Genomic DNA, 20,137 nt, shown 5'->3' on the forward strand with positions numbered 1-20,137 from the left:
AGTAGCTGGGACTATAGGCACGTACTACCACGCCCGGCTAATTTTTCTATTTTAGTAGAGACAGGATTTTACCGTGTTGCCCAGGCTGGTCTCCAACTCCTGAGCTCCAGCAATCCACCCGCCTCAGCCTCCCGTAGTGCCAGGATTACAGGTGTGAGCTGCCACTCCTGGCCTAATTTTTTTTTTTTTTTTTTAATTTTTAGTAGAGACAAGGTTTTGCCATGTTGGCCAGGCTGGTCTCCAACTCCTGACATCAAGTGATCCGCCCACCTTGGCCTCCCAAAGTGCTGGGATTACAGGCATGTGCCACCATGCCTGGCCAATTTTTTATTTTTTTGAGACAGTCTTGCTCTGTTGCCCAGGCTGAAGTGCAGTGGTGCAATCACAGCTCACTACAGCCTTGAGCTCCTGGGCTCAAGTGATCCTCCCACCTCAGCCTCCCAAGTAGCTGGAACTATAGGTGTGCACCACCATGCCTGGTAATTCATTTTAACCATTTTAAAGTGGACAATTCAGTGGCATTAAGTACATTCACAATGTCGTGTAAGGAACACAACTACTTAAAGAATTTCTTTCTCTTTTTTTTGAGACTGAGTTTCGCTCTTGTTGCCCAAGCTGGAATGCAATGGTGCGCTCTTGGCTCACTGCAACCTCCGCCTCCTGGGTTCAAGCAATTCTCCTGCCTCAGCCTCCCAAGTAGCTGAGTTTACAGACATGCACCACCACACCTGGCTGATTTTGTATTTTTAGTAGAGACAGGGTTTCATCATGTTGACCAGGCTGGTCTCGAACTCCTGACCTCAGGTGATCTACCAGCCTTGGCCTCCCAAAGTGCTGGGATTACAGGTGTGAGCCACTTTCCAGGCCCAGAATTTCTTCATCACCGCAAAGGGAAACTCTGTACCCATTAAGCAATAACTCCCCATCTCCTGGTCTTTTGATACTTAGCTTGTGCAGTGTTTAAGTGAATGTACTTTAGAGCCAAGGAAACTGAGTTGAATTATTGGTTCTGCCCTTGCTAGCTCTGGGACCTTAAACAATTTACCTGACCTCTTTAAGCCTCGGTTTACTCATGTACAGAATGGAGCAAATAAGAATAACAACACTCATTGGGTTGTTCTGTGCATATAATATCACACCACAAAAGTAGTGGCTGTAGAAAGACAAATATTACATGTTGTCACTCATATGTGGGAGCAAAAAAAGTTGATCTCATGGAGGTAGTGAGTAGAATGGTGGTTACCAGACACTTTGAAGGGTAGTGGGGGTAGAGGAGCATAAAGAGGGGTTGATTAATGAGTACAAAAATACAATTGGATAGAAGAAATAAACTGTAGTATTCAATAGCACAATAGGATGACTATAGTTAAGAATTATTTATTGTATATTTAAAAATAGTTAGAAGAGAAGATTTGGAATGTTCCCAACACAAAGAAATAATGAACGTTTGAGGTGATAGATATTCCAGTTACCCTGATTTGATCATTACACACTGTATGCTTGCATCAAAATATCACATGTACCCCATAAATATGCACAACTATTCTGTATCAATTTTTTTAAAAAAAAGGAGTGTGTGGAACATCATAAACTCTCAATAAGCACTGACTTCTAATTATTGCCTGCTTTGCTTTGCCTCCTCCTTGTTGTCAGTGTTGCTTCAGATGAGGGTTCTCTGCTATGATCCTCAAGTCCCTAGACCTTCCATCCCACCTGGGCTAGGCCTAGCTCCCTTCCCACTCTTTGGGATGGGATTGGGGGATTTAGGCATTTCTTCTTTTTTTTTTTTCTTTTTTTTAAGAGATGAGGTCCTCGCTATGTTGCCCAGGCTGGTCTTGAACTCCTGGCATCAAGTGATCCTCCCACCTTGGCTTCCCAAAGTGTTGGGACTACAAGTGTGAGCCACCATGCACAGTTGGATTTAGGCATTAACCTTCACATTAATCATTAGCACTTTTTTTTTGTTTTGAGACAGAGTCCCAGTCTGTTACTCAGGCTAGAGTGCAGTGGTGTGATCATGGCTCACTGTAATCTCAAATTCCTGGGCTCAAAGCAATCTTCCCATCTCAGCCTCCCAAAGTGCTGGGTTACAGGTGTGAGCCCCTGCACCCAATAGTCACTAACGTTTGTCAAGTACTTATAGATGAGGTAAACCAACACAGATATTAATATGTACTAAGTAACATGAAGAAGATTTCCCAGCTTGTAGGTAAAAGAGATAAGATTTGAATGCAATCTGACTTTATAGCCCATGTTCTTTTTTTATTATTTATTTTTGAGATGGAGTCTCACTCTGTCACCCAGGCTGGAGTGCAGTGGCGCAATCTCGGCTCACTACAACCTCCACCTCCTAGGTTCAAGCGATTCTCCTGCCTCAGCCTCCCGAGTAGCTGGGACTACAGGCATGCGCCACCACGCCCAGCTAATTTTTGTATTTTCAGTAGAGACAGGGGTTTCACCATATTGGCCAGGCCGGCCTCGAACTCCTGACATTGTGATCTGCCTGCCCCGGCCTCCCAAAGTGCTGGGATTACAGGCATGAGCCACTATGCCCAGCCAGCCCATGTTCTTAATCACTGGACTACAAGGCCTTGGTGTGTTAATAAGCATCTGGTAAGGATGATGGCAGAAGATGAACTTAAAGGGGGAAATTCAAGCTCACCCAGTAGGTCAATGGCATGGCTAAGGCGACAGTCTATGTCTTCTGACTAGCCACCAGATGCTCTCCCTCACCCGCCAGCCACTGGCTCTAGCTGTGCTGCAGATGTTATTATTCTAAGAGTGTGATGTCAAACGTAATCAGGGAATCGGGTGATTAAGTATTTAGGGAGATTTTAGACATGGACAATACCAATGGCTTACCTCCTGGAGTATTGCTTTGATGTGTTCCCTCATATAGCTTTCCACAGATCAGCAAAAACACATGCTTGGAGTTGCCTAAAAACGACTGAGTGTCACCAGCCACCCACCCACCCACCCACTGCCACCTTCCTGGTTCTCAGTCCCCTAACAAGCCCACCTTTGAGACTTTATTAACTGAGTGTGGGTGGCCCGCCTTCGTTTCCTCCACAAGGTGGTTGAGGAGACATCTCTCATTTAAGATTTTGTTCATGTTTTTATGCTGGTTTCTTAAAATGGCTTTGTTGCTCTCTCAGTTGGGACAGAAGGCTTTTTTTTTCTTGTTCTCCTGGAATTGACGGCATTAGTCACACTCACAGGTGACTCTCTGCCACTTAATTTCTGCTTCTAGGATAAAGTGGTCACATGAACACTAAAGCAAGCAATGCATCTTTCCTTTTCACTATTGTCCAAAGTTGCTGCCCTGTAATTTCCTCTTCATTTGATTCTATTCCTGTCACATACCCACTGTATAAGAATTTAAAAAGAGACAAAACAGAAACATACTTCAGGGCCTTAAAGTGTATGTCATTCAATGTGATTATAAACTGAGTTTTTACAACTCCCAACGTTATCTCCAGCTATCTTAGGGGATTATCTTAACAATAAACCTTTCAGAAAATCAATTTTAATCAATTTTGGCTTAAAACCCCATGTATTTATAAGAGGAAAATGGGATGTGCCATGAAGTCAAGAACATGTGTATGTGGGTGTAATTATGAAAAGACTGGGAATTAGTTATTCTCTAAAGCACGTGGGTGTCTGCTTTGTGGTTTAGTTCTTTGGGTCTGGTGTTGGGCTCTAGGGGAGTGTATCTATCTCAAAACAAGCAACTGGGAAGAGCTTAAAGAACATGGCTAGTTCTGCATCCAGATTCTTCCCAACAAGTAATGCTTGCAGCGACTCACATACGGAGAGCTAACCTGCTTGGAACAGGAGGGTGTGTGCTGAAATAGTTGCAGACATGAGATAATTAAGTATTTACCACCAAGAGCTTAAGTATCAGCTAATCATAGGAGTTGAAACCATCTGAGCCTCAAGGGGCAACAATGCTTTTTTTTCTTTTAATAGCCCAGAGGTAGTAAGATATAATCAATTGAAAAAAATCATAATCAATAATATTTAAGGTAGAGAAATGGTATTCAACTTGTGCTTATGAGTAACTTTTTTTCCTCCGTCTTCCTCTAAGTCGGAGATTGTCAAAATATTGCCTCCCAGCCAAGTCTAGCCCACCACCTGTTTTCGTTTGTCTCTTGAGCTAAGAATGTTTTTTTACATTTTTAAATAGTTGGACAAAAAAAAAATTCAAAGAAGACTATTTCGTGACAAGTGAAAATGATATGAAATTCAAATTCCAGTGTTCATAAATAAAATTTTATAGGAACACAGCCGCACTCGTTCATTTATGTATCGTCTATGGTTGCTTTTGAGCTACAAGAACAGAGGGCAGCAGTGGCACAGAAAGCCTAAAATATTTACCATCTGGCCCTTATCAGAAAAAGTTTGCCGATCTTGGCTCTAAGGCAATGCTTTCAAAGTGGACAGTTAGTAGCTGTTACTTGACAAAAAGGGGTCCATTGACAAATAAATTGCAAAATGCTATTTAAAATAAAATCAAACCAATTTCCTTAATAAGCTAATGTGACATAGAAATCTACAAAAAAGAGTGGGAGGGGAGGGAAGCAGAGTATTTGATGTTTCCCAAACTTACTGGCTGTAAAACCCTTTTCTTTTCTGGGCTGTTTTATGGCACTAATCTTCCAGGGAACACAACTTGGTAAATGCTGTTGACAAGTAATTGGCGATTTATGTATACACAATGGAGAGAAAAAAAGCCTGCTACTGGAAACAACAACAAAAGCCACCAAAACTGCTGGTAGTAGAATTTCTCTCGGGGAATAACCTGTTTTTTGTTTCACAAAAACACTTTTAGTAGGTCATTTGGTCATGAAAAGTTAGGTTTTAGGAACTCGATCTGGAAGATGGAAAATGGAAACAGAGTGTTAGAGAATTCTGCACAGTAGCATGAGGTAATTTGGAGTTTGGGGCTAGGAAGAAGGATTGAAGGGGTGAACAGGACAGGAAAAGAGGGAGATGAGAAGGGTCTATGGCGACTTGAGAAGAATCAAAGAAACCTGGTGGGGGAAGCTGGCCAGTGAGAAATTCCCTACGGCAGAGAGAGCTACAGAATATCAGCAAAATGCCGACCATGACGACCAGTAATCCGTGGAGCCCAGTGAGGAACCAAAATGAACATGTTCCAAATGCAGGAAAAAGTGCCGTCAGTGGTGCTCAAATAGGAAGTGCTTCCCTTTCAACTGCAGCCTGTCATGCTGTTTTTAATTTGCTACTTACTGCTGTGCTCCCTCAGGCATAGGGAATCCCACCAGTGCAGATCCTCGAGGCACCCAGCCCGTGGGGGCACTGCTCGGGGACCCACCGGCTGCAGGTTCTCCTTTCCCCTCCCATCAGCCACCGCCTCAGGTGCTTTGCCCAAGTCAGGGCTGGGGAAGTGAGGTCAGGCATCTCACTTTCGCATGTGCCGGCCACCCCAACCCACAGTGGAGAGGCATCGGGTGGAGGGGAGGCCATTGGGTGAGGGTGGAGAGGGGGCCTGGGGCACCCAGCAGAGGTGGGCAGTGGGTGGGTGAGGGAGTCCATTGGGGACAGCTGAGAACCTGGCCCAGTAAGGCAGGGAGTTGGCCTGGGGCAGTACTGAGCATGAATCCAGGCTCCAAGTCCCTGGTGCACACACCATTGACCCAACAGACTTCACTTACAAAGTGCAAATTCAAAGATAAAATTATTAAGAATTTTAAGACAGTGACCAAAGAATATGAAAGCCCAAGTACAGGATTCTTCTGGGCACAGGGTCCCATAGGACTGCAATGCTTGCACACCCATGAAGCCAGCCCTCATGATAACTAGTCACTTTTACTTTTTTTTTGAGATAGAGTCTTGCTGTGTCACCCAGGCTGGAGTGCTGTGATGCAATTTCTCCGCTCACTGCAACCTCCACCTCCCAGGTTCAAGCGATTCTCCTGTCTCAGCCTCCCAACTAGCTGGGACTACAGGTGCCCGCCAACACGCCCAGCTAACTTTTTTGTATTTTTAGTAGAGATGGGGTTTCACCATCTTGGTCAGGCTGGTTTTGAGCTCCTGACCTCAGTTGATCCACCTGCCCCGGCCTCCCAAAGTACTGGGATTACAGGAGTGAGCCACCGCACCCACATCACTTGTACATTTTTTTTTTTTTAAGGAATAAATTACCCCCACACCTTTATTTCCCAGCTTTGTGTTGGGCCAGTCATTGCCTTGGGATATTCAAAGCAAAAGATACTGATTTCCTTGTTTGGGTCAAACCAGCTGATGGAACGAAACAGCAGTAAGAAGTCAATGCTAGAAGGAGATTCAGAGTTCAGTGTAAATGAGAAATTGGATGAGAGATGGAAAATCGGATGAGAACACAATCCTAGTGGGAACATGTGGACATTTTGGGTTTCCAACCCTGCTAGTGACACCAGCCAGCTGAAGGACGTGAAGACAGCCACGTGGCCAACGCTTGGGTTTCCTATAATATAACTTATGCTCTCTGGGGAACGCTTTACAAATATGTGAAAATCATCTGTGGATTTTGTCTGTTTTTACTGTGTACATTTCTCTGTGCCAGAAGTAAACCAAACTGTGGTCTTAACGCTCCTTAATTTGTCACTGTTAATCACTGGTGGCAAGAATCAGCAGAGAGGGATGGTAAGAGATCTTAGCTTGAGTTCAGGCTGCTATTCATGTCCCAGCTCCCATTATGATGGGGGGAGAAACTGGCCAGATACCAAGTGCACTCTCGCCAAATAGAGAGGAATGTATAATGCACCTTTTACAGAAAAAATTCCAAGACAAGTGGGAGTAGAACCACTTATGCCCAACCAACCTGGCTTGGATCAGAATAGAATGACGGAGGACATGAGGAAAGAGAGACAGAGGCCATGTTTAGTTTTCCTGCCCAGGTCGAAAACATTGAATAAATGAGAAATAAATGAGGGATATACGTCCCTGTTATTGAATGCTTTCCAAGTGCCAAGCATTCTGCCAAGTGATTCTCTTGCATTAATCTCACTTACTTGCCACATGGATTCTATGAGGTAAACTGTCACCTATTTTACGATGAGTAAACTGATGCTCAGAGATGTTATGCTTACAAAAGACTGTATAGCCAATAAGTGGCAGAGGCAGGATTCAAACCTGGGTTCATCTGATTGCAAAACCAACCGCTTCAGTCACACCTGGGTAAATGAGCTTATGCTGGCTTTTGCTGAAAGCAGAAACTCCTTACTCTCAAATATTCATATCCAGAACACCCTGAAGCTGCTTTGAAATTTTATTAATAGTAGTAACTGAGGATAAATTACTTTTCTGAACACCAGACGTAAAACAGAATCAATGGAGGGGATTGATGGCATTGGTATCTATCGGGAGAACCTGCCCCCGATAGTCACGTAGGTTCTTTTCTATTTTCCCTAAGTGTCGGCCAGTCTGAGAAATAAAGGGACAGAGTACAAAAGAGAGAAATTTTAAAGCTGGGTGTCCAGGGGAGACATCACATGTTGGCAGGTTCCGTGATGCCCCACAAGCTGCAAAACCAGCAAGTTTTTATTAGTGATTTTCAAAAGGGGAGGGAGTGTACGAATAGGGTGTGGGCCACAGAGATCACATGCTTCACAAGGTGATAAGATATCACAAGGCAAATGGAGGCAGGGCGAGACCACAGGACCACAGGACCAGGGTGAAATTAAAATTGCTAATGAAGTTTTGGGCACGCATTGTCATTGATAACATCTTATCAGGAGACAGGGTTTGAGAGCAGACAACTGGTCTGACCAAAATTTGTTAGGCGGGAATTTCCTCGTCCTAATAAGCCTGGGAGCGCTACAGGAGACTGGGGCTTATTTCATCCCTACAGCTGTGACCGTAAAAGACAGCCGCCCCCAAAGTGACCATTTCAGAGGCCTACCCTCAGGGACGCATTCTCTTTCTCAGGGATGTTCCTTGCTGAGAAAAAGAATTCAGCGATATTTCTCCCATTTGCTTTTGAAAGAAGAGAAACATGGCTCTGTTCCGCCCAGCTCACCGGCAGTCAGAGTTTAAGGTTATCTCTCTTGTTCCCTGAACATTGCTGTTATCCTCTTCTTTTTTCAAGGTGCCCAGATTTCATATTGTTCAAACACACATGCTCTACAAACAATTTGTGCAGTTAACACAATCATCACAGAGTCCTGAGGTGACATACATCCTCCTCAGCTTACGAAGATGATGGGATTAAGAGATTAAAGTAAAGACAGGCATAGGAAATCACAAGGGTATTGATTCGGGAAGTGATAAGGGTCCATGAAATCTTCACAATTTATGCTCAGAGATTGCAGTAAAGACAGGCATAAGAAATTATAAAAGTATTAACTTGGGGAGCTAATAAATGTCCATGAAATCTTCACAATTTATGTTCTTCTGCCATGGCTTCAGCCGGTCCCTCCGTTCCAGGGTCCTGACTTCCGGCAACAGGTATCTAAGTATTATTCTTTTTAAGATAGATTAGGGGCTGGGCACGGTGGCTTATGCCTGTAATCCCAGCACTTTGGGAGGCCGAGGTGGGCAGATCACCTGAAATCAGGAGTTTGAGACCAGCCTGGCCAACATGGTGAAACCCCGTCTCCACTAAAAATACAAAAATTAACCAGGCATGGTGGCAGGTGCCTGTAATCCCAGTACTCAGAAGGCCAAGGCAGGAGGAGAATCGCTTGAATCTGGGAGGTGGAGGTTGCAGTGAGCCAAAATTGCATCACTGCACTCCAACCTGGGCGACACAGTGACACTCCGTCTCAAAAACAAAACAAAACAAAACAACAACAACAAAAAAACCAGTAGATTAGAGGCTGGAAAGGGTGAGTGGAAGAGGGAGGATGAAGAGAAGTGGGTTAATGGGTACAAACATACAGTAAGGCAGAAGGAATAAATTAAATGTTTGAAAGAGTAGAGTGATTATAATTAATAAAGATGTATTGTTCTTGGGTAATGGACACCATAAATACCCTGAATTTTTTTTTTTTTGTCTCTGTGAAGATTCCAGAAGTACACCCTGAATATTTGATAGAGTAGGGTGAATATGCTTAACAAAATGTATTGTGCTTGAGTGATGACACCCTAAATTCCCTGACTTGATCACTACCCATTATATGCATATAACAAAATTTCTCATGTACTCCATACATTTGTACAATACAAAATTAAAAAATTAAAAATATATTATTCCTTTGATTTGAAGTCTTTTTTAAATCAAAGATTGATGGCTGAGATTGTGTCTCTCATGTCTCATTTTACCCTCAATGTCTTACAAATAGCAGTCACTCAATAAATGCTAAAGAATGTAATGCTTAGAGAACCAAAAGATTAAAGATTTTTATTCATCTTCTTGAAACTTTTGGTAGCTAACATGATAAAGAGCTGTTCTAGCCATATAATAAGTGAAGAATTTTGGCTACACTTTGTTACTAGGAGTTGATGTGTGTGGCCGGGCATGGTGGCTCATGCCTCTAATCCCAACACTTTGGGAGGCCAAGACAGGAGGATCTCTCGATCAGGAGTTTGGGGCCAGCCTGGGCAACATAGTGAGACCCCATCTCTAAAAAATAAACAAATACATACATATATACATACATAAATAAATAGAAAGTGATTTGAAATATTAATAGAAAAGTAAATATTTTTAAAAGGTTATTCCCTTCACTCTCTTCTCTTTGTTGTATAGCAAGGTTACAGCTCCAGAGAGGACAAATGGCCTAACCAAGTCTCCTACCCGAGTCTCAGCGGCTGACCATGCCTTCTTCTTCACTGAGAGTAGATGCCATTTCAGGGTCAGTCTAGAAACTGGGATTTGTCCTCTCTGTCAGGCTCCACACATACCTATCACTAGGTTCCATCATCTAAGTCGTTCTTGAATCTGTCCCTCTGTTCCCTTTCTCACAGACACTGCCTGTTTTTAGGGACTCCAGATTTCCCATTTGGACTATCGTAGTAGTCTCCTCGGCTCCAGTGCACCCTCCACCCTTTCATTTCATCTAAATGAAAACATGGTACTGCCTCTCCTCTGCTGAAAGATCCTCAGAGGCTCCTCAGAGTCACAACAGTGTGCCCAATGAAACTGTGATGATGGAAGTGTCCAATATGGCAGCCACTAGCCATATGGCCACTGGGCATTTGAACATGGCTACAGAAATGTGACTGTGGAACTCAGTTGTGGCTAATGGCTACTGGATTGGACGGTGCAGGTCTGGGATAGCATGCCAATTACTCAGTGTGGCCCACAAGACCCTTCCTTGTATTGCCGTGACTTCCCTTTCTACCCTCATTTTCCACAGCTCACTCTCCACACCCTGAGTGCCTTGTGAACTTCATGCTTTTCCCTTTACACATGCAGCGTTCTTTCACACTGTTGCTCCTCCTGGAATGCCCTATCCTGCTTTACTTGCCTGACAAAGTTCCTACTCACCTTGCAAGACTCAGCTTAACTCCCTTTTCCTCTGTGAGGCCTTCCGGTCCAGCCTCAGGATGCACCCAGAGTCCTCCACTGGGCTACCACCAGGGCCACCACACAACTCCAGGGGGTACCATTTACACTGAAGTGCATGCACATGGCAACTTCTGGATTTGTGCAGTACACAGTATATGCAGCCCTCATGGTGGTCAAAGTCCAAACTTGTTTGATATAGGTAGCTGTTTTGATATAATACTTTTATTTAGTTCATTCATTCATCCATTCGTGAGGCACGGGGCTTGGCTTATATTACCATAGTCATTTATTTCTATGTCTTATTCCTAAACCCCTCTGTGGATTCCTGCATGCAAGGACCTTGTATTCCTAAAACCTGGCTTACTGCCTGGCACATAGTAGAAACTCAATAAATATCTGTCAAAGCAGGGATTGGCAAACTGTGGCCCATGGGCAAAATCCCAGCCACCACCTGCTTTGTATGATCCATGAGCTAAGAAAGGTTTTTACATTTTTAAAGGGTTAGAGAAAAATCAAAAGAATAATATATTGTGATGTAAAAATTAAGTAAAATTCAAATCTCAGTGTTCATATGCAAAGTTTCACTGGAATACAGACATATCACTCAGTTAAGTGTTGCCTGTAGCTGCTTTTGCCCTATAGCTGCAGAGTTGAGATGCTGTAACAGAGACTATGTGGCCCACATAGACAAAAATCTTTACTCTCTGGCCCTTTCAAAAAAAAGTTTGCAGACCCCTGTGTTAAAGGAAGACATAAACAGACTTCCTCCCCTCAGAACACAGCTGCTCCTCTTCCCATCTTTCCCTCCTAGCTGCCTGCTTCAGTGGAAGACTTGGCCCTGGTCCTTGCCATACCCCACATTCTAGATCCTCACTTCCTGCCTCCTCTGGTACTTTGACCCATCAATTACACTGCTGTCTCATTTACCTCAATTATTCTTGCCTTGCATTCTTTTTTTTTTCTTTTTTTGAGTTGTAATCTCTTTCTGTCACCCAGGCTGGAATGCAGTGGCGCAATCTCAGCTCACTGCAACGTTTGCCTCCAGGGTTCAAGTGATTCTCCTGCCTCAGCCTCCCAAGTAGCTGGGATTACTGGCGCGTGCCACCACGCCTGGCTAATTTTTTGTATTTTTAGTAGAGACGGGGTTTCACCGTGCTAGCCAGGGTGGTCTCGATCTCCTGACTTCATCATCCACTTGCTTCGGCCTCCCAAACTGCTGGGATTACAGGTGTGAGCCACCGCGCCCGGCTACTTGCCTTGGATTCTATGCTCCAGAAATAACAATTGGCTTGAGATTCCCCCCAAACCATATATTTTCTGCCTATCCTTGAAAATCCCAATACAGAAGACTCCTTTTTCCTCTTCCCAGTTTGCGATGCTCCTCCTACCCCCTGGCCCTCAACATTTATACCTCTGCCTGGGATTCTTTTAGGACCCAGAGCAGATAAACCAAATCCTGGAAGTCTTTCTCAGCCTCTTCCTCTCTCAGATTTAATCATTTGCTCTTCTCTGCAAGAGAGTTCAGATTCTAGTAAATACTACATTATATCCTAGTGAATGGAGTGTGTCTAGGTCATTCCCCGCATTTCATTAATTAACTAACTCGTGCATTTTACAAATATTTGCCGAGTGCTAATATGTGCCAGGCATCATGCTAGGTGCTGGAATGTGTTGATGACTGAGTCAGATGTGGTCCTTGCTCTGTCTAGCGGGGGAGACAGTTACTAAACATGACAATGAATGCATCATTATAAATTGTGATAAGTGTTACGAAGAAAAGAACAGGCTGCTACGAGAAGACTTAGCATATAAGAGACTGTCAGAATTTTTTGCTTGATTGGTGCTGAATAGAAAAACATGCGCTTGAAGAGATGGCCTGGTCAGTTCTCTCTCCTTTCAAAAAAGAAAATGAGGCTTAGAGATCTTACATGATTCACCTAAAGTCACACAGCTTCTAGCCATCAACAGTAGCATAATTCAATTGAATTCAGTTAATGGAATTCAGTGGGGTGACTCCAAAGTCGGATTGCCCTTGTTACAACATTCACCTTTATTTTCCAATAAATAATCTCATCTACAGTCATCAAGTGTCTGTGTGTGACAACTTTATATGCATGTTTTAATGACTCACTCACCTAAATGTGATATCCATAAATCAGGCATATTGAGTAATGAAAAGGTGGCTCAAACAACAGTGACAGAAATAATTTTCAAAGACTTCAAATTATTTACCAAGCTATTATGTATTCCTGCAGCCTTTCTTCCATCTATAGCCCCTTAGCCCTTCTGGAGGCTGATGGGCGATATGCTTTGCTATAGTCTTTTCCAGATCAGTGCTGGAGCATTTGTCCTCCTCCTGAACCCCATGTGGCCGGAAGACGCCTGTCCCTGTCAGAAGGCTCTCTGCAGGAAGGCAGAAGGCTGACTCCAGCATGTGCCAAGAGTTTAATCGGAGTTTGGCGGAAATTGGCCACTCAATATCGACAGCTGATATTGAGAAGTGGATGGATCAACACAACTGAAAGTGGTTTAGGGGCAATACCAGGTGAGCAGTCGATGGAGTTTCAGGTCACAAAGAAGCAAGGACTTGCACTGCTTTAAAATATCTCTATCACTTTTTGTTCACTTATGTTTATAGTGAGCAAGGTGGTCATAAGTTCTGGGACCTGGGATTGAATTCTGGCTCTTCCACCTCCAAGGAGGGTGACTTAGGTGAGTCACTTAGCCTCTGCGGGTCTAAGGTTCCTCAAATGCCCAGGAGGAATACTGAGGGGACCTGTCTGGGGGTGGGGGGGCCTGTGGTGAAGGTTAAATGAGTTCGTTTGTGTAAATAGATTACCACCCCGCCCAGGGTGAGGGCCAATGACAAGAGCAAATCCGAATAAAGTGCTTCCTTTGCCCCGGGCTCAGCTCTAAATTCCTGTTGTAATATACTTAAGCTTCAAGGGCCGGGCGCGGTGGCTCACGCCTGTAATCCCAGCACTTTGGGAGGCCGAGGTGGGTGGATCACGAGGTCAGGAGATCGAGACCATCCTGGATAACACGGTGTAACCCCATCTCTACTAAAAATACAAAAAATTAGCCGGGCGTGGTGGCGGGCGCCTGTAGCCCCAGCTACTCGGGAGGCTGAGGCAGGAGAATGGCGTGAACCCGGGAGGCGGAGCTTGCAGTGAGCCGAGATCGTGCCACTGCACTCCAGCCCGGGCAACAGAGCGAGACTCTGTCTCAAAAAAAAAAAAAAAAAAAAAAAGCCTCACGAAACCCTCATAACCCTGTACCATTCTCCACATTTTAGTGGATGAGGAAACTGAGGCACAGAGAGGTTAACTGGCTTGTCCAGGTCACACAGCTAGTAAGTATCAAAGCTGGGATATGAACCCAGAGAGACTGGCTTCAGTATCCACAACCATAAGCACGGCACTAAATCTCTCAATAAGAACGAGCTATTATTTCATTTTTATTTGTTTATAGTTTTACATTTACTGCTCTTCCCTCTAACTTTAAATTGCCTTCCTTGAAATTCCTTCTGTTCAGTATTCTATGATGACTGTATTATCCCAGCCAAAAATCTGAGATGTGTGTTCAGAGAAAGGATTTTGTGCTGCAGAAGGTAAGAGGTTTACAGGCAATTCTGAAAATTCCATTTAGACACTACGAAGTTGGGATTTCTAAAACATTTGTGATAGCTTAAGGCGACAGGAGGATAAAATATTTGAAATCAGTATTGTCCTGGAAAAGCCCGAATAGTAGATGAAGATATTATTTTCTTTGCCCTTTAAATCCTTTTCCAAATAGACCGAGTACAAGATTGAGGGCCCTGAGAGCAGATGGCCCTCAATAAACACGAGCAACTGGCAGGCTCTGGTTAAGTCCAGGCTGCCCGCCTCTCCTCCCCACCCGGAGGCAGGGCCCTTCCTGAGCGCCTTTCGGGAAATAGCAGCGCACTCGTCCTGTCCCGCTGGGAGATGTTGACTTTTTATTGCTCTTCCCTCCACAAATTTCACAGCAAACTCTTTTTCTTCATGGTGTTTAAATCCTTCTCAAATTCCTGGAAACAAAACAAATAACCCAAAGATAACTTTTAAAAGATTTTGATTCTTCAGTAACTTTTTCTTAGTGACTTTTTCTTACATTTAAAATTGTTGGCCGGGCACAGTGGCTCAGGCCTGTAATCCCAGCACTTTGGGAGGCCAAGGCGGGCGGAGCACAAGGTCAGGAGTTTGAGACCATCCTGGCTAACACGGTGAAACCCCGTCTCTACTAAAAATACAAAAAATTAGCCGGGCGTGGTGGCGGGCACCTGTAGGTAGGGAGGCTGAGGCAGGAGAATGGCGTGAACCCGGGAGGAGGAGCTTGCAGTGAGCTGAGATGGCGCCACTGCACTCCAGCCTGGGCGACAGAGAGAGACTCCGTCTATAAATAAATAAATAAATTTGCTATAACCCAGGATTCTGGGCATAAGTTTTTCTTTTTCTTTTTCTTTTTCTATTTTTTTTTTTTAAGACAGTCTCACTCTGTCGCCCAGGCTGGAGTACAGTGGCGTGATCTCAGCTCACGGCAACCTCTGCCTCTCTGGTTCACGTGATTCTCCTGCCTCAGCCTCCTGAGTAGCTGGGATCACAGGCGCCCACCACCATGCCTGGCTAATTTTTGTATTTTTAGTAGAGACCGGGTTTCTACATGTTGGCCAGGCTGGTCTCAAACTCCTGATCTCAAGTGATCCTCCCACCTTGGGCTCCCAAAGTGCTGGGATTACAGGCGTGAGCCACCGCACCCCTGATCAAACTTTTAATAGATATCTGAGAGGGGTGGGTGACATGGGATGTTCCAGAGTGGAGGGAGAAGAAACTGGTATCACTGGGTGCCTCTGGGGAGGAAAATGAGGCTGGAAGGTGGGATATCCTGAGACAGAGATGGTGTAGTCTTTGTTCTTTTTGAATTTTGGCCCATGTATTACATATGCAAAAATGAACAGATAAAGGCCAGGCATGGTGGCTCATGCAGTGAGCTGGGTGATCCCAGAACTTTGGGAGGCTGAGGTGGGAGGATCACTTGAGCCCAGGAGTTTGAGGTCAGTCTGGGCAACATAGTGAGACTCTGCCTCTATTCTTACAAAAAAAAAAAAATTAAAAAAATTAACAAATAAAATTGGGAAACATAGGTGGTGTTTGAGGCTGCATCTTTCTTTTTCTGTGAGCTGGGGAAGTGCTGAAAGCCACTTTATGTTGAAATGATGATCCTCCCAGGTAGGCTGGGGTAGAGGCAGCTGTGATAGATAGCACCCACACACTACCACTTATGAGCCACATGATCCTGATACAGCATCCTCATCTCTATAATGGAAGTATGGCATGGTAATTAAAAACACAGGCCACTTGCCAGCCACATGCCTTTGGGCATGTTATCTCTTTGTGACTAAGTCTCCTCCTCTGTAATATGGGGATCAGTAATGCTACCTTCCTCAAAGGGTAGGAAGGATTATATGAGTAAAACACCTAGAGCAAGGCCTGGCATATGGCAAGCCATCCAACACCCATCATCATTACACACAGAGCTGGCCTTATACAGTTCCAATATGCACAAATTTTAGTTACTACGGTTTAGTTGAGAACACCAGTCCTTCAATAACATGGTACAATTACAGTTACCACAGTATATGAACTATGAGTAATTGAATAAAGTACAAACTTTGCTGCTAGCTCTTCAGTCCACAAATTACTAGGTAAATTACATGCCCACATCACAATCAGTGACCAACCATGTCACTTACTTAAAAAGTCTGTTGGTGACTGGTTATTGCACCTCTGTTGTTCAGTTCAGGCACCGACAGTAAAGTACTTGGTTGTGTTTCCTCCTTGTCCTCCAGTGATAAACTCACAAGACATTTTACAAAAATGGTACAGAGATGGTACCATTTTACAGAGATGAAAGTACAGCAGGGCCAGGCGCGGTGGCTCATACCTGTAATCCCAGCACTTTGGGAGGCCAAGGTGGGCAGATCACGAGGTCAAGAGATGGAGACCATCATGGCCAACATGGTGAAACCCCGTCTCTACTAAAAATACAAAAAAAATTAGCTGGGCATGGTGGTGCGTGCCTGTAGTCCCAGCTACTCGGGAGGCTGAGGCAGGAGAATTTCTCGAACCCAGGAGGCGAAGGTTGCAGTGAGCCAAGATCGTGCCACTGCACTCCAGCCTGGGTAATGGAGTGAGACTCCATCTCAAAAAAAAAAGAAGTACAGCAAAGGAATGAAATGTGGTGACACTGGAAGTGAGATGGGAATGGGATGTGATTAGAAGATTTGAAAATGGTGACAGCAAAGCAAAGAGAGGCTGAGATCTCAAACTGCATGAAGCTACTGTATAAATCATACTGAAAAATTCTGGTGAATATAAAAAACAAGCAAAAGTCACTTCAACATCTTTCCATTTGAGTTGTGCTAGGAACGGAAAGCTGCTTATAGTTGAAATGGAGCATTTACTTTTGCTTTGGATTACATGCAGTATGGCAGTAACTTTTACTTCGCTGTGCAAATAACTTTGCATGATTCAAATCTAACATAAATGGAGTTACAGAAGAAGTAGCTGACCATGGGAATGTTGACAATGCTGCCATTTGAGAGAGTACATATGCAATCAGAGGAACTTAGCATTTACTGTGTGCCAGGCACCGTGCTAAGAGCTTTAGAAACATTACCTTACTTAATCCTTACAACTACCCTAAGAGGTAGGAACTACTGTCATCTTTTTATAGATGAGGAAAGGGAGGTTTAGGGAAGTGAAGACATTTATTCAAGGTGACTCCGAGGGGAAGAGGCAGAGCACAAAATTGAGTCCAGGTGTGACTAACTGTATAATAGTTCCCTGACTCTTAACCACTAGGCCACTTGAGAAAAAGATTTTCTAGCTTCTCAGAGTTCAGAGTATGGTTGGTTAAAAAAGAAAAAAGAAAAAATGATTTTTTTCCCTTAAAGCATTTAATGATAACTCTGTTAGCATGGTGGTAACTGTCTGGTGGCCTATGCTAGGCACTGCCTGTTTCCCTTTCCTTCCCTCTGCTTATCTCCTGCTTAAATCCCATTCTTCATCCCCTCTCCCCCAAACCCGTGCAGGCCCACGTGAATCGGAATCCTTGCTCTGTTCAGCTGGCTAAGGCGAGTCCCGCAAAGCGCTGGCCTCCAGGTGCTTCTGCCAGGCCTTGTGGTGCAAGGGCCCTGCCTCCTCCCGCTCCAGCAGCAGCCCTGGCGATGCCCACTGCGTTTCTCAGCTCTGTTGGCAGTGGGGGCAGAAGAGGCTGCCTGAGGCCCCCTCCCAGCAAAAGCCGTGGCCACACCTGCAATGACTGGGTTGCAGCTCTGAGCTGCAAGCATTGGCTGTGGCCTGGAGACCAGCCACTGTAAGTAGGCAGAACTTTTTGGCTTTAGATTCGTTTCAGTTTTGTAATCAGAAAGTTGCTTCTCTCAGTTCCGCAACTTTCCCTTTCGGCAGGCCTGCATCAAGTGCCCTCTGTAACCCAGGAAGGAGACGGTTCAGGGTGGGAAACCAGTAGGGGCTGTGCCATGGTCCAAGGGGGCTCCTCACCTGACAGATCTTTGAAAAAGTGTTTGCAATAACTGCTGTGCTGGCCCTGGCAAGACGTGAACCCGTGAGGAATGTGACAGCTGCTTCCCACAGGGGCCCTACTGACCCCAGAGGGCTCTGGCACTCCCAGGGTTTGGGAGAGGAGCTGGAAGTCTGGTGCATTAAGAGTGAGGAAGGACTCTAAAAAGCTGGCAGGGAAACATTGTCTGAGTCACATCTCAAGGGAACTTGAGAGGAGAAACGCTTTTCTAAAACCTTTTTTTTTTTTTTTAGCTGGAGTTTCTGGTCACCCAGGCTAGAATGCAATTGCACAATCTCAGCTCACTGCAACCTCTGGTGCCCGGGTTCAAGCAATTCTCCTGTCTCAGCCTCCCGAACAGCTGGGATTACAGAAGCCCGCCACCATACCCGGCTAATTTTTGTATTTTTAGTAGAGACGGAGTTTCACCATGTTGGCCAGGCTGGTCTCGAACTCCTGACCTCAAGTGATCCGCCCACCTCGGCCTCCCAAAGTGCTGGGATTACAGGCGTGAGCCACCGCGCCCGGCCTCTAAAACTTTTCTTCATGGAAAGTTAAGCCTCTTTCTCCCTCTCTCTGTCACACTGTGTTCCAGGGTCTGGGAACACAGCAAGGAACAAAACAAAGATATCTGTTTTTGTGGAACTTATATTTTAGTGGGAGAGGCTGGAAAATAAGCAAAATAAATAAGAAAGCTATAAGCGAGAAACCTGCTATAGAGAAAAATAAAGCAGGGAACAGGATAGGAAATACAGATGGGTGTGCTTTTCTGGGGATGCCTCATTAATAGGTGACATCTAAGCCTTATGGAGAATGGAACCAGTGGCGAGGGATGAGCTGGGCATCCTAGGTTTCTGTTGGTGACAGATGAAGGACTTTTTTTTTTTTTTTTTTTTTGACACAGGATCTCACTCTGTCACCCAGCTGGAGTGCAGTGGCATGATCTCGGCTCACTGTAACCTCTTCCTCCTGGGTTCAAGTGATTCTCGTGCCTCAGCCTCCTGAGTACGTGGGACTACAGGCGTGTACCACCACACCTGGGTAATTTTTGTATTTTTAGTAGAGACAGGGTTTCATTGTGTTGGCCAGGCTGGCCTCAAACTCCTGACCTCAGGTGACCTGCTTGCCTCAGCCTCCCAAAGTGCTGGGATTACAGGTGTGAGCCATCGCGCCCGGCTGAAGGACATAATGAAATTATCCTGATGGTCTCAGGGCTTGGAGCTCCTGCCTCTACACTGACTTCTGCCCATGGAAGGAGAGGCTGTGTGTGTGTGTGTGTGTGTGTGAGATGGTAGGGCTGGGAGAGTGGAAGGGGTCTTGTGTTGCTTTGAAGTAGGTTCTGGAGTCCTGGTGTCGACTCCTTGGGTGCTGGGAGGTGAGCCCACAGAGAAAGAGGCCATGCTTTCGAAAGGGGTTGAGCTGGAAATGGTCCAACACCCTTACCTGGATGGAAGCCCTGATGAGGGGGTCCTGGTCAAGAGGTGGATGAAGGCCTCAGGGTCAGCTGTTCAGAAGCACGCATCAGCCTGAGAGAAAGAACACATCTGGGCTGTTAAGTGTGAAAGAACACATCTGGGCTGTGGCAAGAGTGAAAAGTGAAAAGAAGCACATGAGGCTGGGCATGGTGGCTAACACCTGTAATCCCAGTACTTTGGGAGTCTGAGGCAGGAGGACTGACTGAGCTCAGGGGGTTGAGGCCAGCCTGGGTATCAGAGTGAGACCCCATTTCTACAAAAATTTTAAAAATGAGCTAGTTATAGTGGCACATGCCTGTGATTCCAGCTACTCCAGAGGCTGCTGATGTGGGAGAATTGCTTGGACCTGGGAGGTTGAGGCTGCACTGAGCCAAGATCATGCCACTGCACTCCAGCCTGGGTGACAGAGTAAGACACTGTCAAAACAAACAAACTAGCAAACAAAAAACACAAGGGTTAATTTTATGTGTCAATTTGACTGGGCCTATAGATGCCCAGACAGCTGGTCAAACATTCTTTCTGGGTGTGTCTGCAAGGGTGTTTCCAGAAGAGATTAGCATTAGCACCAGTAGACTGAGTAAAGATCTGCCCTCACCAATGTTCCCTG

The 20,137-nt window shown here is 45.0% G+C and overlaps 1 long non-coding RNA gene across 1 annotated transcript; it reads right to left on the reverse strand.

The window, feature by feature from the left end:
- Positions 1-12,482: 12,482 nt before the first annotated feature.
- On the reverse strand, positions 12,483-19,581 carry LOC124903329 (uncharacterized). Its single transcript, XR_007064206.1, has 2 exons — positions 19,499-19,581; positions 12,483-14,504 (listed from the first exon to the last, which is right to left on the reverse strand). It is a non-coding gene; the product is annotated as an uncharacterized LOC124903329 (long non-coding RNA).
- Positions 19,582-20,137: the final 556 nt, after the last annotated feature.

This window comes from Homo sapiens, chromosome 14 (assembly GCF_000001405.40).
Source record: "Homo sapiens chromosome 14, GRCh38.p14 Primary Assembly".
NCBI lineage: Eukaryota > Metazoa > Chordata > Mammalia > Primates > Hominidae > Homo > Homo sapiens.